General features: G+C 50.0%; 1 protein-coding gene across 10 annotated transcripts in view, besides 4 other annotated features; it reads right to left on the reverse strand.

The window, feature by feature from the left end:
- Positions 1-5524: 5524 nt before the first annotated feature.
- Positions 5525-23881, reverse strand: part of ANKFY1 (ankyrin repeat and FYVE domain containing 1) — a 100159-nt gene continuing 81802 nt past the window's right edge. For all 10 annotated transcript variants that reach the window (NR_047571.3, NM_001330063.2, NM_016376.5 and 7 more), the window contains 10 exons: positions 22958-23076; positions 21425-21581; positions 20561-20761; positions 18830-19006; positions 15613-15760; positions 15058-15148; positions 14260-14384; positions 12419-12565; positions 10902-10992; positions 5525-9615 (listed from right to left, as the gene is read on the reverse strand). Coding sequence is in view for 9 of the 10 variants with exons in the window: in NM_001330063.2 (NP_001316992.1) it covers positions 9483-9615; positions 10902-10992; positions 12419-12565; positions 14260-14384; positions 15058-15148; positions 15613-15760; positions 18830-19006; positions 20561-20761; positions 21425-21581; positions 22958-23076 (1389 nt within the window). In the remaining variant the exon portion in view is untranslated. The remainder of the gene's footprint in view (positions 9616-10901; positions 10993-12418; positions 12566-14259; positions 14385-15057; positions 15149-15612; positions 15761-18829; positions 19007-20560; positions 20762-21424; positions 21582-22957; positions 23077-23881) is intronic.
- Positions 11043-11198: a silencer, noted in NCBI's record as "fragment chr17:4072633-4072788 (GRCh37/hg19 assembly coordinates)". NCBI's record gives its function as "represses an EF-1alpha promoter that drives an FKBP-Casp9 reporter gene in an ReSE screen in HepG2 liver carcinoma cells {active_cell/tissue: HepG2}" and the evidence as "EXISTENCE:reporter gene assay evidence [ECO:0000049][PMID:32094911]".
- Positions 18202-18703: an enhancer, noted in NCBI's record as "H3K4me1 hESC enhancer chr17:4079793-4080294 (GRCh37/hg19 assembly coordinates)". NCBI's record gives its function as "activates a minimal SCP1, AML or CMV promoter by ChIP-STARR-seq in naive H9 embryonic stem cells {active_cell/tissue: H9 hESC(naive)}" and the evidence as "EXISTENCE:reporter gene assay evidence [ECO:0000049][PMID:30033119]".
- Positions 18704-19203: an enhancer, noted in NCBI's record as "H3K4me1 hESC enhancer chr17:4080295-4080794 (GRCh37/hg19 assembly coordinates)". NCBI's record gives its function as "activates a minimal SCP1, AML or CMV promoter by ChIP-STARR-seq in naive H9 embryonic stem cells {active_cell/tissue: H9 hESC(naive)}" and the evidence as "EXISTENCE:reporter gene assay evidence [ECO:0000049][PMID:30033119]".
- Positions 20216-21415: an enhancer, noted in NCBI's record as "MED14-independent group 3 enhancer chr17:4081807-4083006 (GRCh37/hg19 assembly coordinates)". NCBI's record gives its function as "activates an origin of replication core promoter dependent on BRD2, BRD4, P300/CBP and CDK7 cofactors, and independent of MED14, by STARR-seq in HCT116 cells {active_cell/tissue: HCT116}" and the evidence as "EXISTENCE:reporter gene assay evidence [ECO:0000049][PMID:35650434]".

The raw sequence follows: 23881 nt of genomic DNA on the forward strand, positions 1-23881 counted from the left end.
ATCAAACAGCTCACTTCTCTCACATCATAAACATTCCCTCAACTCCAGTTTTGGCTTATACTCACTAGCTTTGCTTTTCAGCTCCATTTGCTCTAAAAATCAGGAGAAATTCTGCATTGGCACATTCCGTGGTCACATCCAGTTCTTACCTAGGCTTTGTCACTCTGGATACTGTGGACCGTGGGGTCCTCCATGAAACCCTCGCTGGGCTTTATCCTGCTTCCCTTTTTGCCTCTGCCCATTCCTTCTTAATTGCCTTGAGAACCCCGTTTTGCCTCCACAAACCCCTTCCCATTGGCTCCTCTCACTCCAAATCCGACAGTTACTTAGACCGTCAAACCTGCACGTCTACTCCAGGCAGCTTTGCAGAGCATTTCACCTTCCCCTCCCATGCTGCTTCTAGTTCTCCAAGGGAATGGCACCACCAGCTACACGCAGAGTCAGCATCCGAGCAGCCGTCCACACTCCATCCTCCCTTCCCTCCTCCTAACCCGCCTGCAGGTCCTGGGACCTCTGCCTCCCTCATTCTCTCCCTTTCCTTCCCTCTTATCTGTCCCTAGTACTCTTCCTCTGGCCTAGGCTGTCATTTCTCACTTGGATTACTGAAGGATCCTAACTGTACTCCCTCCCTCCAATCCCTCCTCCACACTGCTGGGAGCCGTCTTTCTTTCTTTCTTTCTTTCTTTTTTTTTTTTTGAGATGGAGTCTTGCTCTTTTGCCCAGGCTGGAGTACAGTGGCGCGATCTCGGCTCACTGCAACCTCGGTGGCACAATCTTGGCTCACTGCAACCTCCACTCCCTGGGTTCAAGCGATTCTCCTGCCTCAGCCTCCCAAGTAGCTGGGGATTACAGGCACGTGCCACTACACCCAGCTAATTTTTGTACTCTTAGTAGAGATGGGGTTTCACTATGTTGGTCAGGCTGGTCTCGAAATCCTGACCTTGTGATCCACCCACCTCGTCCTCCCAAAGTGCCAGGATTGCATGCGTGAGCCACCGCACCTGGCCAAGCTCTTTCTTAAAGATGATCAAGGCATCCCCCATTTAAGCCTCCTCAGGGGCTCCCCTGATCTATAAGGACTGAGTGCCAGCTCCTCTGCTGCGTGCCACACGAGGCCCTTCTGTGGCCTCTCTCCTCTTAGGCCTGTACCTTTCCCATCTCCTCCCATGTGCACCTCCTGTCCAGCCTCCCTCTCACTGCGTTATGTCTGCAGTGCCTTCACACAAGCTGTTTCTTTTGCCTGGAATGACGCTTCTTCCTCCGTTGAATTAATCCACCCCGTATTGCTTCAATATTCAGCTCAATCAGGCCCCTCTTGGGAGCCTTCATTAACTGTTGGGCCAGCAGTGAGCTATAGACGCACTTTCCCTGCTCCATGGCTGTGCTCATATCACAGTGGGCTCTTACCATGAACTTCCTATCAACCTCTTGCACTGGACCTCAGACACTCTGAGGACAGAGCCCCAGTGTGATTCAGCTCCATACCCCTATATCCACATGACTCAGCTCCGTACCCCTATATCCACGACTCAGCTCCATATCCCTATATCCACAACTCAGCTCCGTACCCCTATATTCACATGACTCAGCTCCGTACCCCTATATCCACATGACTCAGCTATGTACCCCTATATCCACATGACTGAGCTCTGTACCCCTATAATCCACGACTGTCCGTACCCCTATATCCACATGACTCAGCGCCGTACCCCTATATCCACATGACTCAGCGCCGTACCCCTATATCCACATGACTCAGCTCTGTACCCCTATAATCCACATGACTCAGCGCCGTACCCCTATATCCACGACTCAGCTCCGTACCCCTATATCCACATGACTCAGCTCCGTACCCCTATAATCCACATGACTCAGCTCCGTACCCCTATATCCACGACCCAGCTCCGTACCCCTATAATCCACATGACTCAGCTCCGTACCCCTGTATCCACATGACTCAGCGCCGTACCCCTGTATCCACGACTCGGCTCCATACCCCGATATCCACGACTCGGCTCTGTGCCCCTATATCCACAACTCAGCGCTGTACCCCTACATTCACGCAACTCAGCTCCGTACCCCTATAATCCACTTTACTCAGTGCCGTACCCCTATAATCCACATTACTCAGCGCTGTACCCCTATATCTACATGACTCAGAGCCTTACCCCATATCCATGTGACTCAGCTCCTCACCCCTATATCCACGTGACTCAGCACCATGCCCCTATAATCCACTTTACTCAGCGCTGTACCCCTATATCCACCGCACCTAGCGTGTGGGAAGTTCGTGCAGAGTTGTTTCTTTTTTTGAGACAGGGTCTTACTCTGTTGCCCAGGCTGGAGTGCAGTGGCGTGATCATAGCTCACTGCAGCCTTGACCTCCCGGGCTCAAAAAGATTCTGCCACTTCAGCCTCCCGAGTAGCTGGGATGATGGGCACGTACCAGCATGCCCGGCTAGTTTTTTATTTTTGTAGAGATGGGGTTTTACCTTGTTGCCCAGCCTGGTCTCCAACTCCTGGGCTCAAGCAATCTGCCCACCTCGGCCTCCCAAAGTGCTGGGATTACAGGCGTGAGCCACCGCACTTTTTGGAGATAAGGCAATAAAGGCACATAGAACTTAAGTCACTGAGCATGGACCTGAGCCTAGAACTCAAAGCTCTGGATGCCTGATTCGGTGCCATTTTCACTCCTCCATATTTCTGTATGTCTCTGCCCTCCCTGGGGCAGGACCAGGAGCAGACAGAAAGAAGAGCTGAAATTAGGATTTTCTTCTGAGTTCTAGGCAGTCCCTGAGCTCAGTGCTGAGACTTCTCTATTAACCAGAAACAGCCCCCAACTCCATGCTAACTGGAAACTAGTTACTGCCCATGATTTAGTCCTCCTTAGTCATTCAGCAAATAACTTACCAAGAACCTACTATGTGCCAGGCATCACGTTAGGGTTGGGTGGTCGAGGAAGCAAGGCTTCCGACCTCAGGGGGCTTATAGTATGGTGGAATAAACCCAGTAGAGCAGCCAGAGGCTGTCCTTGCGGTAGGAATGCAGGGAGAGTGTGAGGGCCAGGTCCCAAGATGTTCTGATCCTTCAAAAAACAAACAAACAAAAAGGAGCATTAGTCATTCCAGCCAGCTGCGGGCTCTGGCCGTGCCTAGAGGGTACCTGATCTCTGACTGATGCAAGAGCCCTGCGTGCAGGCTCCAGGACAGACTTGGCTGGCTTCAGCAGCCTGCTCTGTTCCTTGCTCAGTTGAGAATTCATTTCCTTTTTGATACTTACCTTATGGTACTTACCTTCCTACTTAATCTGGTAACACATCTCTCATGTCAGGGCAAAGGATTCAGCAAAGAATTAGGTTCAGCAAGAGTAGGTTGTCATTTTAATGGCCTGAAGGGCTCAGCCATGAGAAGCTGGTAATTACTGGAGAAATGCCTGGCCTTTCCCTCTCCAGTACAGGTGGCCCTGGGCAAAACCATGGGGGAGGAAGGGCAAGGCCCTGATGGAAGCCACAGATAAGCTCAGCTTAGGCTGAGCATGCAGTTAGACTTGCTGGCAGAAGGAAGGGAAGGAGAAAACATACATATTGGGCAACTATGCTGGGCCAGGCCTTGTTCTCATTTAATCTCTATGCCTGCCTTGAGAAGTTCCCATTTTATGGCCCAGAAAAGGGGCATAAATATCTCCCCACCTCTTCTAATAGTTACATCAACCGTCGGGTGACAGAGCTGGGCTTTGTGATGCGAGTCTGATCTCTGCCACACCAGTGAGCACAGTGTCAAGGCAAAGCCTTTGCAGCTGCACTCCACTCCAACATTGTGAAGGAGGCCGGGCGCTTATAATCCCAGCACTTTGGGAGCCCAAGGTGGGCGGATCTCTTGAAGCCAGGAGTTCGATGGAGGCCAGCCCGGCCAACATGGTGAAACCCCATCTCTACTAAAATACAAAAATTAGCTGGGTGTGGTGGTACGCATCTGCAGTCCTAGCTACTGGGGAGGTGGAGGCTGCAGTGAGCCGAGATCACACCACTGCACTCCAGCCTGGGCGACAGAGAGAGACTCTCCCAAAACAAACAAACAAAACCCAAAAATAAAGAAGTCATCTTGAAAGAAGTTTCAACATTTGCCTTTTCATTCTGAGATTACAGTTTTCTATAAACATCTAAGAGTGAAGAGTCTGACGTTTTTTGGTCACAGCTGAGCCACTGCGTGACCCCCGCCCCGCCCCACACTCACTTTGCTCTAGGCAAAGCTGTACTCTGAAAGCTGGCCCCAATGGGGAGGTTAGGACTGTGCCTGCTCAGAAGTCTGTGGGTGCCTCAGAGAAGGGCAACAACCCTAGGCTGGACCCTAGCCTTGAGAGTACTTCCTACTGCCAGAGCCCCCAGATTTCTTCCGGTGGCAGCAGATACTGCCAGAAGAGCCTGCGGTGCACACACCAGAATCCGGGTACTTGGATGAGAAGGACACATTACTGATCACCTTCCTCCAGGCAACCCTGTCAGTTAAGGACTACAGTCCCGCCCCCATTATGTAGATAGGGAAACAGAGGCAAAGAAGTTAGGAAACTCGCCCAGAACTCTCAGCTCATGAATAAAAAAGCAGAACTAAAACCCAGTGCTCTCCCTGGCTGGGCAAACGTGTGGAAGTTGATGTGCCTGGTTACTGTTTGTGCTTCGCTTATCATAACCAGTGACAGCGTGGTTAGCACTGTTCGCCTCAAGGGCAGCTGTGAGGATTACTTGGGATTGTCCTGTGGAAACACTTCACATGCATATTAACTAGGAGAAAAGCCACTGGAGAATGAGCTTTATGAGCTCTATCAATCACCACAGCTAGTCTGACCTAGGGGTAAGCAAAATGGAAGACAGGAAAAAGGGAATACATTTGCTCAGGACAGCGTGAGGGCCACGTGAGCTGCTTGATTGGTAGTGATTTGTACAGGGGCTTTATGGATCACTAGGTTTTAATTTGCAAGGCCTGAAACTGTCCTTAGCATTCTCTGAAACCCACAGTGCCAGTCGCCCTTCACGCCTCGGCCAGCAGAAAGCTCCTCATGAGTGGATCCTCTTGAGAACTTCAGAGGGGTCAGGTGACGGTGACTGAGACTGCCTCAGTGATCACGCTCGGTGCTATGAGCTGAAATCTGGGCCAAGGGCACAGTAAGTTCAGGCAGCTAGTATGTTTAAAATAACTACTTTTCGGGAGCTAAGCCATGAGGACGTAAAGGCATTAAGAATGATACAGTGGACTTTGGGGGCTCAGGGGAAAGGGTTGGGGTGAGGGATAAAAGGGTCCAGTGTACACTGCTTGGGTGATGGGTGCCCCAAAATCCTGGAAATCACCGCTAAAGAACCTCACGTAACCAAACACCACCTGAACCCCAAAAACCTACTGAAACTTTTAAAAATTAAAAATACATACATAAAATAGCTACTTTTACTGCTGTCAACAGCATGTTCCTGAAAAATGTTGGAATTCAAACTTTCTGGAGGGCAGCTGGTCAAGAAACTTATTCACGTCAGGAGTTTTCTAAAATTTGTTTTTAATGCTTATTGGTACTTCTGCATTAGAAGTAACTACAAATGTCTTATTAAAGTTTCCACTTTAAATGCACAATTTTACTTCATTTTATTATAAGGAATTGTTACAGAAAATGCAAATATCAGTATTTGAAAAATACATTCCATTACACAGACTCCAAAGAAACAATGCTGATAAGCGCCGTGGTCCTCTATGATACCATCACCCCACACTGAGCACCACCCCGAAGGGGCTGGAAGCCAGGTGATCCACCCAAATGTGTGCCTGCAGTTTCTGCCCAGCTACTGCCCCTCCTCTGGGATCACACAGGGATGTCGTAACAGCCAACTCCACACATCTGCCAAAAAAGAGCAAGTCATCAAGGCGAGCAGTCTCGACTCAAGACTCCCTAGCTGCAGAAAACCAATGTTGTCAGTTGTAACAGGTTAATATATTATTTATGCCACACAAAAAAGGAATAGTACAGGCAATGATCTTCCAAAGAAAGTCTTTAAGGCATCTGTAACTTCTGGGAATTTCAGGGTTTTTATCTTGCCAGTCAGCTCTCACTAAAGTACTTCCACAGAGTGAGAAGGTGGCTCCCAAGTCCCTTTGGTGAGTTGGTGCCACCTGCTTCCTCTGCCACCAGGCTGGGGTGGGGAGCTTTGGTGCTTCAGGTAGTTCTTCTGGGACTTGTCCCAAGGGAAGCAAGTGTCTGTCATGGAAACATTACCCTTCCTTGTTCCTGCTACTGTCACCTGGGAAGTTAGCGTTAGCTTGCCTTTCAGGGTGAAGCATTACATAGTTCAAAAGTGTTCTTTTTCTCCAGATAAAAGAAACCTAGATGGAGGTCAAGCTCTCCCCTTTCCCAAGACGTTCCCTCCACTCCGTGCCCGTGGAGAAGATTAGTGCAGAAACGGTTCAATATGGCAGGTGTGGGACATGAGCGGGGAGGAGTGGAGAAACCACACACACACTGAGATCCACACAGGGACCCATTCAGGGACAAGAGTGAGGACACAGAACGGGGTGGTCAGAAATGACTCGGGGCTCTGAGGTAGAGGACTAAAGGTCACGTAGACCCCACTCCTTGGAGAGAACGTGGCAGGTGAACTGAGCAATCGAATCCAGCCTCAACTAAATTGGTAATTGGGGTTGACCGTGCACAGGCCCAAAACTCCAAATGGAACACATGTTCTAACACATCGTTCAGTGAGACACCACGAAAAAGATGACTGAAAGTTCAAAAGTCCTAAGTGTAGGCACTTAAGTTTATGGGAAATTTCGGTGTTAGAGGATCATAGCAAATTAGTTTAAGCCATTCGATTTATATATAGCACATGGTCCGTACCTTTGTTTTAAAAACAACGACAACAAAAGACTGTTAGGAATACACTGGATAATAAATCTGGCGATGAGCAAAGGGCAGTTGAGAGCACATTCAGCATAACAATGTTGACTGTTGCAGCAAATTATGTTTCAGTAAAGTTTACTTTTCCTGCTCTACTCATTCAGAAGTGGCAACTTTCTGAATGAATTTAAGTTTTTGCTACTAGTACTTAAGCTACTGATGAAAACTTACAACAGCTAGGCAGGTTTGTACGCAAGTGTTGACAGCAGGGAGAGCACGGGAAGGGCTGGAAGCATGCCTAGTCCCAGCCAGGGCAGGGCATGTTGGAGTCAGCTCCCACTCAAGCAGCCTGCTGAGTGCAGCCCAGCGAGCGTCCGCGTGGTCGGGGGGCTTCCTAAGTCTGTGGAAAGAGGCTTTTCCTATATCCACATGGATGCGCCCTGAAGCCAATGGAAAACAGGACTCAATGTTCTCCCAGTCCATAGCTGGTCAGTACCATTGCTATCCCTGGACTCAGGCTTAGAAGCAAGTTTGAATCAACATATTTGAAACATGATCTTAAGATTCTGAGTGCAATGACAGGCAAGATTGTTATTGAAATTGGTATGGTAGGGCATGGGCAGAACAATCGGCCTCACCCTTGACTCATCTCCCACATTCCTTTTAAAGAACAGGTATCCATGTACCAACCACTTCAATTCATATCCGAATCATGATTCTCTTACTTTCTAACTTAGGTAACCAAGCTACCTAAGCCCTGCCTGCTTCCTTATGGCCCTTTCCAGGTAATAGAAAATGGAAACTGACCACATGCCTCACATGGCCAAATGTTTGCCAAGACTAGCAGAGTTTTTCTTTTAAACATTCTGTATGAAATATGTCAGACTGGGGGACGGGGGATCTCTTCTAATTCATTGTTTTTCTTTTAAACATTGTGCACAAGCTTATATTCACATAGAAAGCATATACATCTTATAAATCACAGACTTTTTTTTAAGTAGTACTCCAGTTTATCAGCTCATTTTACACACATATTTAGGCAACAGAATGTATAAATCTACCGCAATACAGAGGACACACTATCCAGAAAAGAATGAACAAAGAACAGGCTGTTGCAAAAATATTTAGTCCCTTTACACATATAGTCAAACTTCATTAATGCAAAAAAATGTAGTGGTTATTAAATGTCTGAAAGAATCAGTATGTATGATTGAGATTGTTAATCTCTGAGTATAACACATATTGTTCATCTCAGAGTTGTTTTGTTTTAAAGCCGTGGTAGATGCTTCTCTTTAAATGTGCATTTTTTAGAAACTGGCCAAACCTTCAAAAGAAAAGTTTAACACCTCACGGTTAATATATGTACTAACAGCGATGAACGCCCAACAAGTTCTGGCAGCCTCATCCAGCACACAAGCCAGAGACTTCCAAAGTAAGGTGGCGCACACGTGGCCAGGGCCCTTGGCTGGTGGCCCTTCATGGGGCAGGGCAAGCTACACAGAACTGGGACCAACAGCACTCGCAGCATCACTAGGGAGGATTTCAGCAAGAAGCATTTGTGTCAAGGACATAGGACCTGCCGGCCTGAGGCTGGAGATGCCCTTGGGGCTGAAGCCTTGGTGACTCCCCCTCTCATCACTTGGCCTGTATGAATCTCTTGCTCTAAAAGATGCTCTGTAGAGTTTTTCCTTGGAGATTCGTGTGAGCTGAGGTCCAGTCAAAGCTGATCATTAGAATCACTGATGCAGGGATGTGTGAGGGTATTTTTGAATATGGATTTTTAAATTGGAATCACCGACAATGCAGCTCTATAAAAAGTGCAGCACAGTAAAAGTGCATTTCCTCCAGCACTCTCCAACAGCAGAGTGACTGAGGACTCCACAGACAGGACGCAGCAAGACGAGAGAATGAGACGGCTGCTACGAGGTGTCAAGCGGCCCAGCTGCACTCCTGACACCTCAGTAGCATGAACACTGTAAAGCTTTCAGTTGTTAAGGCCACGATTTTTCAGCTCTCATCTTTGAACCCTGTTAAGAAAGATTTCACCTTTTTAAAAGGGGTAGCTCACTAAAAATACAGCTTAGCGTAAAAAGAAAAAAAGACTTCAGGGCAAGAGGATCCTATTATCTTTATGAAAACACTGTGCAGAAAAGTCCACAGCCACTTACCCTAGAGTAAAGCCAGCTCATTAAGCAGCCAGCTTCCTACGCTGAGAGGCTCTGCCTCATCAGTCAGCCCAGGCGGGAAGACTTCATGAATGCTCTGGGATGGACACCAAGCTACTGGAAGGGGAAATGGTTTTCCAAGTGTCCCTGTATGTTGCTAGCAGAATGGGGAGAGGTCTAATTCCTAATCACATTTACCACTTAGGCCCAATGGCCTGGTCTGATGAGTGAGACATCTAGTGAAATCGATCACAGTCTGACACACACACTGACAATCATATGGAATCATTTGAAATGGGATCTATCACACCATGGTCCTTAATCGTTCCAGTCTATTGCCGCAGGAAGACACCCGCCAGCTCCTGCTCTGGGTGGGGTCAGGCTGGTGAGCAGAGCAGCTGCTGGGGAGGTGACCAAGGACGTGGCCTGGACCCTCCGGGGGGCTCACTAAGAAACCCCACCCAGAGTCAGTACATCAAAACAAATGTTGCAAACCCGCACAGGCTTGTTCAGATCAAACTTTATAATAGGAATCTCCTTGGTCGAGCATTTATGGCAAAGAAGACGTCCGCAGTGACGACTGTGGAAGCAAAGAAAGGAAGTATGAGAGGAGCGCCAACGACAGACTCTGCTTCCTGGCACGTGAGGACAACCGCAGCAGGGCCTGGCAGCCAAGGCGCCCGCAATGCTACTCTGGCAACTCTGCCAACTGCCAGCCCGGTTACCACAATTCATGTAGAATTTTTAGTCTATGAAAACAAAACTCTAGTCAATCATCAAGTTAAAGCAATACTGAAGAAGGCTTTTTTTTTTTTTTTTGGAAGATCAAGAGCAGCTCAGGCCAGGCATGGTGGCTCACGCCTGTAATCCCAGCACTTTGGAAGGCTGAGGCAGGCGCATCACTTGAGGGCACGGGTTTCAAGATCAGCCTGGCCAACATGGTGAAACCCCGTCTCTACTAAAAATACAAAAATTAGCTGGGCGTGGTGGCGTATGCCTGAATCCCAGCTGCTCAGGAGGCTGAGGAATAAGAATCGCTTGAACCCGCGAAGTGGAGATTGCAGTAAGCCGAGCTCGTGTCACTGTACTCAGCCTGGGTAATAGAGCAAGACTATGTCTCAAAAACAAACAAAAAGAGAGCAGCTCAGCACTATCTTTTTTTTTCCTTTTTTCTTTTTTGAGATGAAGTCTCGCTCTGTGGGCCACGCTGGAGTGCAGTGGCGTGATCTCAGCTCACTGCAACCTCTTGTCTCAGCCTCCCAAGTAGCTGGGATTACAGGTGCCCACCACGACCCCCAGCTAATTTTTGTATTTTTAGTAAAGACAGGGTTTTGACGACCCCCAGCTAATTTTTGTATTTTTAGTAGAGACGGGGTTTCGCCATGTTGGCCAGGCTGGTCTCGAACTCCTGACCTCAAGCGATCCGCCTGCCTCTGCCTCCCAAAGTGCTGGGATTACAGGCATGAGCCACCGCACCCGACCTATCTATCTCATTTTAATGGGAACAGCCCCTTAGTTCTCGGCAAAGCGGCCCATACTGAGGCACACCATGAGGGCAGTAGCTCATCTCAGCTTTGGTGCAGGCAGGAAGTCAGGAAGGATGGCACAGGCCTGGCAGGCTGCCTGGAAACTGTGCACCTTCAGCCTCCAGCAGGAAAGCCACCCGTCTGCAGGCTCCCTGCCTTCCCTACATCTCTGTTCCTCAGTAGGATCCTTGGGTGTGCTCATCTCATCCCTCCATTTGGTCAAGGTTTGCCCATCAATGTGCAGGACCCAGGCAAGTTCACGGCCTGTCCTGGAGAAGGGGGGAAGCAATGACATCAGCGGCAGTCCCCTCGCTCCTTGCCAGTGACGCTGGGGTCTTACCAGTGGTGTTTGCGAGTGGTGACTCCGAACCTGGCAGTGCACTCATAGCAGTAGGAGCCGTCACACCACGGAGGCTCCTTGGACAGCATATCTGCAACACAGGGGGGAGGCCCGGTCCCGTCAAACCGCGACGGCGCCACGCAAGCCCCAGGGCTTGGAGGCAGCAGGAACACAGACCCGTAAGTGAGGCAGCGCTGCCACATGACATAGGTGACGAAGGAGCGATAGGTTCTAAGTGGTTCAGGGCCAGCTTCCCAGAGGAGACTGGAGAATCAGCCCTTGCCCGGGAGACTTGGGGAGAAGGAAACGGTGGTCAACGAGGTGAACCAGTGTGATGTCTGTGGGGGAAACACGTAGTCAGGGATGGCTGGGATGGAAGGCACGGTAGGGAGAGAACAGAGACCACACAGCTAGACAAACTGGCCAGGGGAACAGAGGATGGGACTAAGACAAGAGAAATTGAGGAGGCAAAATCTGTAACTCAGTGACTGAACACAAGTGTGGGATGTGAGCGGGAGCAGGCAGAAGACACGGGTGATTTCCAGGCTTCCGGAGAGTGCCTGGGTCTGCAGTGGGACCATGGGCAGAGCAACCTATGAGAAAGAACTAAGTTTTCACATCTAGTTTGGGAGTTACTAATGCAGACAGGAATGACAATCACTTGGATTTACTGGCTGAACTCTCACTCTATCCCAGGCACTGTCTGACTGCTCTACATAGACAGGTCCACTGAGCTCATGGGGACGGAGCAGCACGTGAGTCCGTCAGTTCCTTCTGAGTAATGGGATGTGTGTGCTGCCGGCCCTGTGATGGGCACCGGTGCTGAGCTTTTCAAAGGCCAAGTGCACGGCAGAGGGAAGGTGCAGTAGACCAGATGTCACAAATGCTGTCCTTCAACCCGACTCCACCACAGACCAGCTGTGCCCCCTGGGCAGGTCCTGTGCATCGCCATCCCATGGCTACCGGGGATGTCGGAGCTTGTTTTCCTGCCTGTCTCTCCCCACTGTGGGTGATGACACAGCACAGGCACTCGAGACATTCTGATTCTTTCTGTCACCTCAGCAGGGAAGAGTAAAGATTCACAAATATGAAATCAGGAGGGAAGCACTCCTTTCCACAAAAGGGTCACAGGGGAAGGAGAGCTGATAGGGGCTGGAGCAGCAGGCCATTTTGAAGGTTCTGGAGGATCTGAGTCAGTCTCAAGAGGACAGGTGTGCAGGTAAGTGGCCAGGACACACAGGAAGGGTGGCCTGCCTGGAGCTTTGGCATTTCTAGAAGGTTGTGGGGTGTGGGAAATGCACAAGGCAGAGTGCTTTGAAAAGAGACTGTTCACAGTGACCTTCCCAACACGCTCAAAAGTCCTTCCCTTATTCAGAGAAATGGTCCCAGCTACTGCCAGGAAACGAGCGGTTCCGATCCTAAGGCATCATGAGATTGAAAGATCACCAATACAATACATGGCGATCCCAACACTACGACTGTGCTTGCACTGTGAGAGCAGAGAGCGGGCCACTCACCCAGCAGTCGGAACAGGAGCTGCTTGGTGGCGACCTGGTAGTTGAAGATGTTGACTCCCTGGTTGTTATTCACCCCGAGGCGAGCCCCCGACCGGACGATGGCGCGGCACAAGTTGGCGTTCCCTTTCATGTATGCCAGGAGCAGCACTGGAAAACAAAAGCACGCGCAGGGCTACTTCCCACCCGGCCCAGCCCGGCAGCCACAGACGGAGGGCGGAGGACAGCCAAGGGCAGAACAGACCGCTGGCAGGAAATCTGTTCACAAAGTCCCCACAGACATACGGGGGCCCCGAGGCTCTGGAGAGAACTGTGGACAACCTGTAGCATCTTCCAATAAAGGATGTGGCCACGAGCCAAAGAATTCTAGAGCAGCTGCCGTTTCCAAGACACAGTCTTTCCCACGTAGAGCTTGGGCTGCAAGAGAGCTGAGGTCGCGCAGGTGGGGAGGGATTCAACACAGAGGGAATCATCTACTGTGGTCTCAGTTGCCTTCCTCTGGCATGAAACACTGGTTTCTCCACAAAGGACAAAGCTCTTTTCACCCAATGTAACTAAATCTAAACCTACGAGTTGTGTACACATGGAGAAGAAAAATCAGTATTAGGAACACGCTCCAGAAAGTTCTTCCACCCCGTGGAGCCCGTGGGAACCCATGCTCTGGCCAGGCCAACCTGCTGGCCTTCCCTACGAACAATTACAGCTAACTGTCGCTCCCTCTGCTTCCCTATCCCAGATGCCGGGTTTCTTTCATTTAACTCTGAAAATCATACAATAAGATGAGGGTTATTCTTCCCACTATCAAATGAGGAAGCAGGCCTATGAGGGAGAATGCACCCAGTCACCCTGCTAGAATGCGACAGGGCCAGGCATCTGCACACAGGTCTCTGTAAACCGGGGACCTCAACACGGAGCCCCTCCCTGCTGCCTGTTCCTGTTTCCCTGCTCCTGGGCAAGGTGCTGCTGAGTACGTGCTGCTCACTCCCTCCCAGGGGCGGACTCCTCTGAAGCTTAAAAAACAGTGCGCACGTAGCAAAGGCCACAAACTCCTCTCAAGACCAAGAGAAAAATGGTGATAAAATATGTGGTCCCATGTTAAGGTTCAGACAACCCCATGGTGACTCCATTTCTGCCAAGACCACAGAGGTGAGTGAATGGGAATGCAGCAGCCACACAGCTGCGCAGAGGGCTCTGGGCTGGGATGAGACATCTGGTTTTGCTTTATGGGGTTACTTTTCCTTACCCGAAAAACGGGGATACAACTATGCACTGCTTCCCTTATGAGGCTGCCGTGAGTCCTCGGCAAGAAAACGAACGCGAGAGTCACCGGAAAAGCTAGGAGGGCCACACGAATGAACACAGTGATCACGGGTACCCAGAGCAACCATGAGAGGCCTGTAGCCCTCTGCATAAGAAGGCACCCCGTGTATCTGGGTAGTTTGCCACTTTCTCAGAGCATGCCGACACATGATCTAGCACATTTCTTCCTTTTGAAGATCCTGTGAGATGCTTCTATTTTCTTCCTCTGCTAGAATTTGGGAGCTTGCATAGGACCCTATTTGACTGGACAAAAGGCAAATGAGGGAAATAAAAACAGGTGGAGAGGCCTGTTTGGAGAAGGGTATGGATGGTTTCAGAGCGCTACATGCACTTGAGATGGGACAGTGTCTAAAATCAGACACCCCAGACTCCACAACAGGGCTCTGTAACTCACACCCGGAGGGCCCAACAGAACTGTTCTGCGAGCTGAACGCCCTCAGATAACGACGTGTGCCTGGGCTCTTGCTTTTCCAGGAAGCAAGGTGCGCAAGTGAGACGGGACATACCCAGCCCTTGGTACACACCCGTGCTGCCGTCTGCATCCGGCTTGTCCAGAGGATACCCCGGCATGCATTCTAGGAAGAGATCAAAGATGGCCGCTGCATTCTCCTTGCCATATTGTCCCAAAATGTGCAGTGGTGACTGGCCTCTGATAAAACAAGTTGGAAAAGTTAGGAATGTATCTGCCATGGCCATCACACACAAAATAAATAGAATTTTCTGAACTCTGTGATGGTGGATAAATCTAAAAGACACAAAACAAGTCACAAAAGTTTTTCTTTTTCTTATTTTGTATTTTACTGTAACCTAAGTGCATGCATAACAAAAGTTTTTTTGTTTGTTTTTGAGACGGAGTCTCGCTCTGTCACCCAGGCTGGAGTGCAGTGGCGCGATCTCGGCTCACTGCAAGCTCCGCCTCCCGGGTTCACGCCATTCTCCTGCCTCAGCCTGAGTATCTGGGACTACAGGCGCCCGCCACCACGCCCAGATAATTTTTTGTATTTTTAGTAGAGACGGGGTTTCACCAAGTTAGTCAGGACGGTCTCGATCTCCTGACCTCGTGATCCGCCCGCCTCGGACTCCCGAAGTGCTGGGATTACAGGCGCGAGCCACTGCGCCCGGCCAAACCTTTTAAGAAGCATTTTTTATTAAAACAAAAATACCGGTACCAAAAGTACCAAAATAAAGTACCCGAAGCTGGTGAGGTGCCCCAGCGGCCGGTTTTGCAGCTCCTCCCTGGGGCTGATGGGAGGCACCAGCAACCAGCAGCTCTGAGCAGCAGGCCAGGCGCCGCGGGGCCTACTCGGGCCCAACGCGCTCACCTGAGATTAAAGGCTTCGGCGTCCACTGTGCACTCTGTCAGGAGAACCCGGATGTTGTTGAGCCGGCCGTGCATGACAGCAAGATGAAGAGCTGGGAAGTAAATCCTCTTACTATGCAAGCCCAGAAGCACATGCAGAAAAACCTCCACTCCTCCTCACCCTCACAGACCTCTCTGTAAATGGGACCCGGCCACAGCAGCGACTGGCCACGCACAGAGCCATCCTTTCTGGTCTTCACCGCCCTCAAGGATGCATCACAAATGCAATCTCATGATTGCTCTGTGCTGTGCCTTCTGCTTCAGCAGTTACCCAAAGGTGAGATTTAACAGTTTCCCAAGGAGGCAGTGTGGGCTTCCAGGGCTCCCACTCAGATGGGGAGGCTGCCCAAGGCCTGGGCAGTCGCAGGTTGGATGCTCTACCCAGAGCACTTCCTGTCACAGCTTTGCTCCTGTAAAAGCCAACCTCCCCAGTGGGGAGCAGACCCAAGGGTGCACTGCACCCCCACCCCTAGAATGGAGGGATCGTTCAAGCCACTAAAGAATGACTGGGAGTTACCATTGTTTCCATTCTCATCCACGGCAGCAAAGTCCACGCCATTCTCTAGGAGGACTGAGCAGATGGTGGGCAGGTCCTGCTGGGCAGCAAGATGGAGGGCAGTCTGGCGATGCTTGGTTAATTCGTTCACTTTGGCTCCCGCAAGAAGCTGTTGAAGTTCATTACATGAACAGTCAGTCTCTCTGCCACAATCAAGATCCCCCTTATGGGGGCCGAGCCTGCTTGTCTTCTGACACCCACAGAGGCTGATGGCCTGCCCTGCTGACAGAGCTGGGAGCATAGGAGCTTCACACACACTCCTGCTGAAGCAGAAACCAGCAAAACCCGTGCCAAGGGCAAACTGGCAATTACCTATCAAAATGTTAAAGAGCCATTCCTTGGGATGCAGAAACTCTACTTCTAAGGTTTTCGTGTATAAAAGCTGTGCAGGACTGCAGTGATGGCCGCTGTACTATCTACGGGTGTCTACTGCTTGGAATAGGAAAGCCTGAAGGCAAAGGGGTTTGGTTGTAAAAAATTGTAATAGGTACAAACAGTAGAGTAAGATGATAAATATTTATCGATTAACATGGAAAGATGTTGATGACAAGTAAGTTTAAAAAACCTTGCAAATTAGAAGATAGTATGATTCCATCTGGGGAAGACAGAGCTCTGTGTACACACAAGCATGCAGGCACAGAGGCACTTGGAAGGTGTTTCAAAGCATAAATGCCATACTCCGAAGAGCTGGGACTCAAAGAGAGACACTATCTGTTTCACATCCTTACATGCTTTGAGTTTTTCCACAATGAGTATGTACTATTTCACTATTGTTTTCTATTTATTATTTCTTGAGACAGCAACTTGCTGTGTCACCCAGGCTGGAGTGCAGTGGTACCATCATAGCTCACTGCAGCCTTGAACGCCTGGGCTTAGATGATTGGCCCACCTCAGCCTCCTGAGTAGCCAGGACCACAGGCATGTGACCCTATACCTGGCTAATTAAAAAAAAGAAAAATTCTGTAGAGACAACGTCTTGCTATGTTGCCCAGACTGGTGTCAAACTCCAGGCCTCAAGTGATCCTCCCACCTTGGCCTCCCAAAGTCCTGGGATTACAGCATAAGCCACTGCACCCGGCCTGTTTTTTAAAAGAAAGAACACAGGCCGGGTGCAGTGGCTCAGGCCTGTAGTCCCAGCACTTTGGGAGACTGAGGCGGGCGGATTGCTTCAGCCCAGAAGTTCGAGACCAACCCAGGTAACATGGCAAAACCTCATCTCTACAAAAAATTTAAAAATTAGCTGGGTGTAATGGTGTGCACCTGTAATCACAGCTACTCGGGAGGATGAGATGGGAGGATTGATTGAGCCTGGCAGGTCAAGCCTGCAGCGAGCTGTGATCAGGTCACTGCACTCCAGCCTGGGCAACAGAGCAAGACCATGTCTCAAAAAAGGAAAAAGAAAAAAAAAAGAAAGAAAAAAAGGGACACAAAGAATTACAGAATCAACACAGCCGGAGGGACCTTTACATAATACCTATTCGTTTAGTATTTGAAGTTCGTCATCCTCTTTCTGACAAAGTTTAAAAAACAATCGCTGTAAACAGAAAATACATGTAGTCTGTAGTCAGAACCCAATTTGCTGCTGCTGAGGTGTATGGCCACCCCTGGTTCCTCCGTGTGTACAGGCACTGCCTCTGGGAAAATCTAGGTGCTGCTTAGCTGCTCTGGTTAGGACCCTGACTTCTAAGTCTCAGCCTCCCCAGAACTCTGGGCGCCCAGTCTAATCACTGATCGATAAGACATATGAGTGGATATGGGACTCTCCATACGGGACGTCTCACAGATGTATATTCATGGTCCCTGGTGCTGTGTTAGGGATCATAACTGGCCCCACAGCTGGTTAACTGGGAGGAGAGAGTGGGGAAGGGGTTTCAGTATGAACAGGGTCAAACAGGATGCAGCATCAATTCAGAGGAAGGAGCACACGGACACTGGAAGACCCGCTGTTTCTAGTGTTTCTGGGCGATCCTATCATCTGTCATGCCGGGCCCCAGGAAGGCGGGGTCCTTGGTCAGGGACCGTAACCTCCTCCAGCCCTACAGAGGCATAAAGACTGATGAACACGAGGCCGATTCCCTACGACTTTGGGACCCAGCTCCGCCTCCTTGGCTGCTTCCCCCACATCCAATCTGTTCCTGGCACCATCATACCCACCGCTCCTTAGCCCTCAGTTCACACTCACTGCCACGGCCTCCGCTCGGTCTCGTCACTGGTGAGCCCGCCCCACACCTGTGTGCCTCACTCCCAAGGCGCCTTCTTCAAATGCTGCCTCAGCTCAAACACAATCAGGTCACAAGGCTTTTCTAAAAAGCACTTTTCAGAAACAGTGACACCAAGGCGCCAAAGGCTGCTCAGGTGCCTTAGCGGCCAGTTCTGCGGCATGTGTCTGGGGCTGACAGGAGGGACCAGCGACAGCCAGCTCTGAGGAGCAGAGACCAGACGATGAGGCCCTGTCTCAGCTCTGGACCTTGTTCTCTCAGCTCAAACACTTACAATGGTTTCTCCACTGCCTAAAAGATACTGGCTGCTCACAGTTCTCGGTTTGAAATGTGACACCCCACGATCTGCTTTCTTCCTGCCCCTCTAACCACAGCTCTTTCAACTCTACTAAAACTTCAACCAAACTTTCCTACGTAAACACACCACATGCACTTCCCAATCTCCACATCTTTACTGAGACCCTCCCCGGCCTGGGTGGAAAAAGCAGGCTTTGGAGTCCAATGGAAAAGGCTAAAATCCAGCACTACTTGCTTAGATAGCCTCGGGGGTAAAATTCTTTCTCGGCCTACATTTTCTCCTTTGTAAAATGTAAAACATTTCTCATACCCCTCTGTGGTTTTGAAAATTAAGAGAGACAGCTCACTTCAAAGTCCCAGTTGAATGCCTGACAGAGAACACAAGTGGATCTCCACTTCCTCGGTGCTCCCACCCTGCCTCCACCATTGAAATCCTGCTTTCTGGAAGGGCCCCATCTAGCATCTGGCAGCCCACGCAGCCCAGTGGGGCGCTCAGGACGTGCAGCCCTTGACACCAGTTTCCTGAGTGCACCAGCCTCGCTCCCCAAATTCCCCAGGTGCTTTCACAACACCGGGCAAAGCACCTGTGATGAGATTCTGCACAAGCTCTACAATATGCTTTGACAACATATTATTACATGCAATACTTCTGTGTCACTTACCAAATTGCGGACAATAATTTCTGAGCCTGCTTGGACAGCGAGGTGCAGGGGGGTCAACTTGGAGGCATCCTGGACTCTTGAATTCACATTAGCGTGGACACTGATCAGGAACAGCACACTTTCAATATCAGAGTTCTGAACTGCCACATGAAGGAAATTCCGGCCCTTGTTATCCACCTACAGCAACAAGTGCAAAGCAAAATATTAGTTCCCTTTTCAGAGTACCTCCTGAGCTTCATCTGCAAGCTGAACTGACCACTGGAGAGGTCACGATGGAGACCTTCCCTCAGTCTTAGGAAACCCCCTCCCAAGAATGAACATGAAACGCCATCCCCCAACCCACCCACAGACCCACTCTACACATCTGTGCACAGAACCAGGTGTGCGTGGCCACACCCACGTGGTCAGGAGAAGGGAGCCACTGTGGCAGCCTCCTGTAGTAGGAACTGGATGTGGAAAACCAAGAAAAAGACAATCTGAAGGATAGGGAAACGCAAGCACCAAGATATCAGGAAACTCATGGAGAGGGAAAATGGAGACAAGCCTTGGGAGTCTCTTTGCTTTGGCTAAAACAAGCACCCAGCATCCTGATGCCCCAGCTGCACTGCCGGCCTGACCCGAGCAGTCAAACAAAGGGTTGAGAAACGTGGAGAAAGTTTCCTCTTACTGAGCTACGCTCTATACACAATGCGGGAGGGAGCCAACAGCAGGGCCCGGGCTTTGCTCCGCTGATGGAAAGCCAACAGAGCTCAATGAAATCAAAGCACACCGTCTCCTGTAGTTCCCAGAGCCGTCTTAGCATGAGTGTGGAGGCGGCAGCGAGGGCGACCCCAGTGCCACACACACGGCACGCCGCTTCACAGGCCCACACGTCACACACGGCACGTGCCAGTCTCATAAGCAGCGGATCCACAAAGCGCTTTCATCAGCAGTCCAGTTTCACACTGGAGAGAAGAAACGGGAGAGGCCATTTCACACCACCTGAGCAAACGTGAGGTCACCACCTACGCAATCCAGTCACACTTGTGAAAATGCTGAAGACGGTGGTTACGGAAGCCTAAGACACCAAGCAATCATCTCCACCCATGCGAGGATCTCACTTCACGCGGGTCCCAAGTTCCATCTCACCTTCATGAATGCCACTGATAAATGCGCCAGTACTCTAGGTGCTGGCTGGAGAGCCAAGTTCCTGCAGGACTGACCTGATAAACCCACCCCCTCCTACTCAGATCAGTTGTGATTGTCATTTCCCAGCCAACTGCTTGTTGCAGATCAACAGTTCACCATCCCGATGTAGCAGCTGGTAAAGAACCACAAAGAACAAGGACAGCCGAGGCTACTGAGCAACTGAACTCCTCGGAAACACTCAGGAAGTTGCCCCAACATCACAACACAAGCTCTTTCAAAGACACTCCTCACTAGGACAGTTAACCAACCTAGCAAAAGCAAAGAATGAGCTCAACTGTACATGCCACAGAATTCCTACGATGGAGCCCACTGCCTCCGCTTCCATCGAAGCCGGGCACTGTCAGGCGCTGACACACAGGCAGAGGAGCCGGATCTCATCCTGCACGGATGGGACATCTCAACAGCCACATCTTAGGACAGGAGTACAACTTCAAAACAAAGCTCTTTCCATGAGGAGACCTGTTTAGTCGGTGACATCTGTCTAGTCTCCAGGTTCCGCGACGCCCAGGACCATGTGGAGAAGGTCAGGTGTTATTCACTCACCTGCTCAGCAGCCCCGGACTCTCGTTTGAGAATGGCCTCGGCTGACTTGTTGTTCTTGAAAGTCATGGCACAGGCAAACGGGGTCAGCCCTTGTCTGTCTCGTACATTCAAATGGATATCGGGGTGAGAAACCAACAGCTGAATGATGACACCGTGTTGGCTGCTGATGGCCACGTGGATGGGGGTTCTTCCTTCTGCATCCTATGGAACAAGGCACAGAATTTAATGTTCAATTGCAAGATAAAACTCAGGAAAAATATGAAAGGGTATAACTTTTAAATCAAATTTCAGTTATGAGAATCGATCAATACTACCACCCTGTGTTTGACTCAGCTTTTGAAGAGGCCAAAGAGAAATGACTAAATGTCACTTCCTGTTACACCACGTTCCAGTGACCCAGTGGTGACCGTAGGACCAGCACAAACATGTGTTTCACATCTGCAGTGAGTCTCCGCTCTAAGCCACCACTCCTTATCTGGCTATAGGGCCTTATATATAAATCTGCACAGGCTCGAATGTTGAAAAGCATCAAAGGGCGTAACTCAGGGGTGCTCAAGTGAGCTACTGGGACATTTTCCTAAATACAGTATGCGATTTGGGACTAAACTCTCAGAGGAAATCTGTAACTAAGGGGGAATAGGAGGCAAAGAGAAAGAGCTGAAACAAATCTTCCTCCTGTTGTAGTAAGGACAAAGGCACAGAGAAGCACAGTCAGCCTGAAATCATGAACGCTGCTAGGGAGGTCGTGTGTTCATGAAGCAGCAGCGCCTGGAACTGGGGACTGTGCAAGGTCCTCTGCCATAGGAGGAGGCTTCCCTCATGCTGGGGCTACACCTCTCTCCCCGGAAAAGAGAAACGACACACCTGTGCGTTCACGTTGGCACCAAACTCCAGAAGACACTGTACTGTCTCTTCCAGCCCCCAAGAGGCTGCCAAATGCAAAGGGGTCTGCCCATCTCTAGCCTCTTCCTCTCCTTCTCCATTGGCGCCTGGTTGTCTGGGACTGTTCACGTCACAGCCACTGAAAGGAATGGGGACATTTTAAAAAACGCCACGCTTGGACCTGGCGTATAGGCATGCTGATTACAAATGTAAAGCAGGAGCCTCATCCAATCCAACAGCGTCTGCTGTGGCCGGGTCTGCTGTCCTTGGTCCCTGGCCTCAAATACCAGAGTCGGGGTTCCACTCCCATAGATTCTTCTGTGACTGGTCTTGGGGGTGGGCAACCCGGGCATCAGAATTGTTAGAAACTTCCCAGGGGATATGCATACATTTAAAGCCTGAGAACCAGCCGGATGCGGTGGCTCATGCCTCTAATCCCAGCACTTTGGGAGGCCGAGGCAGGTGGATCACCTCAGGTCAGGAGTCCACGACCAGCCTGGCCAACGTGACGAAACCCCCTCTCTGCTAAAAACACAAAAATTAACCGGGCGTGGTGGTGCGCGCCCATCCCACCTCCCATCCCAGCTACTCAGGAAGCTGAGGCAGGAGAATTACTTGAACCCAGGAGGCAGAGGTGGCAGTGAGCCGAGATGGCGCCATTGTACTCCAGCCTGCGTAACAGAATGGGACTCCATCTCAAAAATAGAAAATACAAAAAGAAAGTTTGAAAACCATAAAGTTTGAGCCAGGCACGGTGGCTCACGCCTGTAATCCCAACACTTTGGGAGGCTGAGGCGGGTGGATCATGAGGTCAGGAGATCGAGACCATCCTGGCTAACATGGTGAAACCCCGTCTCTACTAAAAATACAAAAAAAAAATTAGCCGGGCGTGGAGGCGGGCGCCTGTAGTCCCAGGGCTGAGGCAGGAGAATGGCGTGAACCCAGGAGGCAGAGTTTGCAGTGAGCCAACCAAGATGGTGCCACTGCACTCTAGCCTGGGTGAGAGAGCAAGACTCTGTCTCAAAAAAAAAAAAAAAAAAAAAAAAGAAAGAAAGAAAACCAGAAAACCATTAGTCTGAGAACCACTGCTGTGAAGGCTTCCTGAATAACCTCGGCTCCCACACTTCCCACACTCCAAGGGGGCCACAGAGCCTGTTACGACTCACACATCGTGGTGGGGTCCTGCAGAGACCATCTGGTCTCCCCAGCCATAGCCTCCTGCTTCACAGTCTGAACTGGTCTGCCGTGACTACAGGAGCTCAGGCAGCTCCCAAAGCAGGACGCTGACTCCAGCTTTCAGATTCTTTGATTCAGGGCTGTGAGCTCCTCCCGTCACAAGTGAGCCTGGCTCCTGGCTGACTTGACATGACAGAACAGTGACTCTCTGATAACCTTAACTGTGAAAGTCAAGCCGGCTACTGGCATGCCAAGACTATAGACGGATTTAAAAAGGAAAGAGCCAGTTTGCAACAAGCTCACTAAAAAGCTGTGGAGAGATACTGGGGACTCTCAGACCTGCGAATAAGAAAGCAGGCGGTGGGCTCGTTGTTTTCATCAATGGCTCTGTGCAGGAGCGTCTGAAGGCACCCACCAGGTCCCGGACCCCAGCATGTGGCATCACAGCCATGTCTGACCTGCAGAAAAACATAGGTTATTCACAAACACTGCTGAGCAAAGGCAAACAGTTTTATTACCAAGTCTGAGCTCTATGTATAGCATTAAATCCACTTTCAGATAAGATACGGTTGATAATAAATTGATAATTACTTTAATCTGTATCACTCATTATTTTACAAACACTAATTAAAATTTGCTGTGTGCAAGTTCGTGCACTAGGTCCTGTGGGACAGACTTGGGAAGTATAAACAAGTTATGTTTAATTTGTGTCCTTTAGAGCTGAGTTCTAGAAGGGACAGAAAACAGAAAGTGTCTGTGTACACATGCACCAACGGGTCCTCAGTAACACACACCTGCAATTAACAGGTAATCTCAACAACTAGGTAAAACCTCCAGGTGCACAACGCCTTCATATCACACTGCAGGCCCTTCGGAGAGCTGAATGAGAATGTGCAGGTTTGCCTCCACTTTTGGGGCCTGTCTTGCAAACAAGGGAGATAAACCTAAGATTGAGGAAATTATCACTATGGTGATAATGAGGACACCCCATAGCAAATCAACCAACCCCAGGAGAAGGCTCCTGAGGAAACGCCGCCATTCTCTTGCTTCTTGGTAGTTTTCTTGGTAAAGATGACCTAAAAACAAAAGGTCAGCCAAGACCATGTTGAACTGCAAGTTTCTTTAACATGCTTTCAACTGCTTGTCCTTGTCCCACTATGTTACTTGACAGATCTTGCTCCTGTGACAGCTACGCAGGCAGCAGATCCATCTCTGACACAACATATCCCCATCTGTAAACAGAGGCTAACGTTGTGCCTGTCT

This window comes from Homo sapiens, chromosome 17, assembly GCF_000001405.40.
Source record: "Homo sapiens chromosome 17, GRCh38.p14 Primary Assembly".
In the NCBI taxonomy this organism is placed as follows: Eukaryota; Metazoa; Chordata; class Mammalia; order Primates; family Hominidae; genus Homo; species Homo sapiens.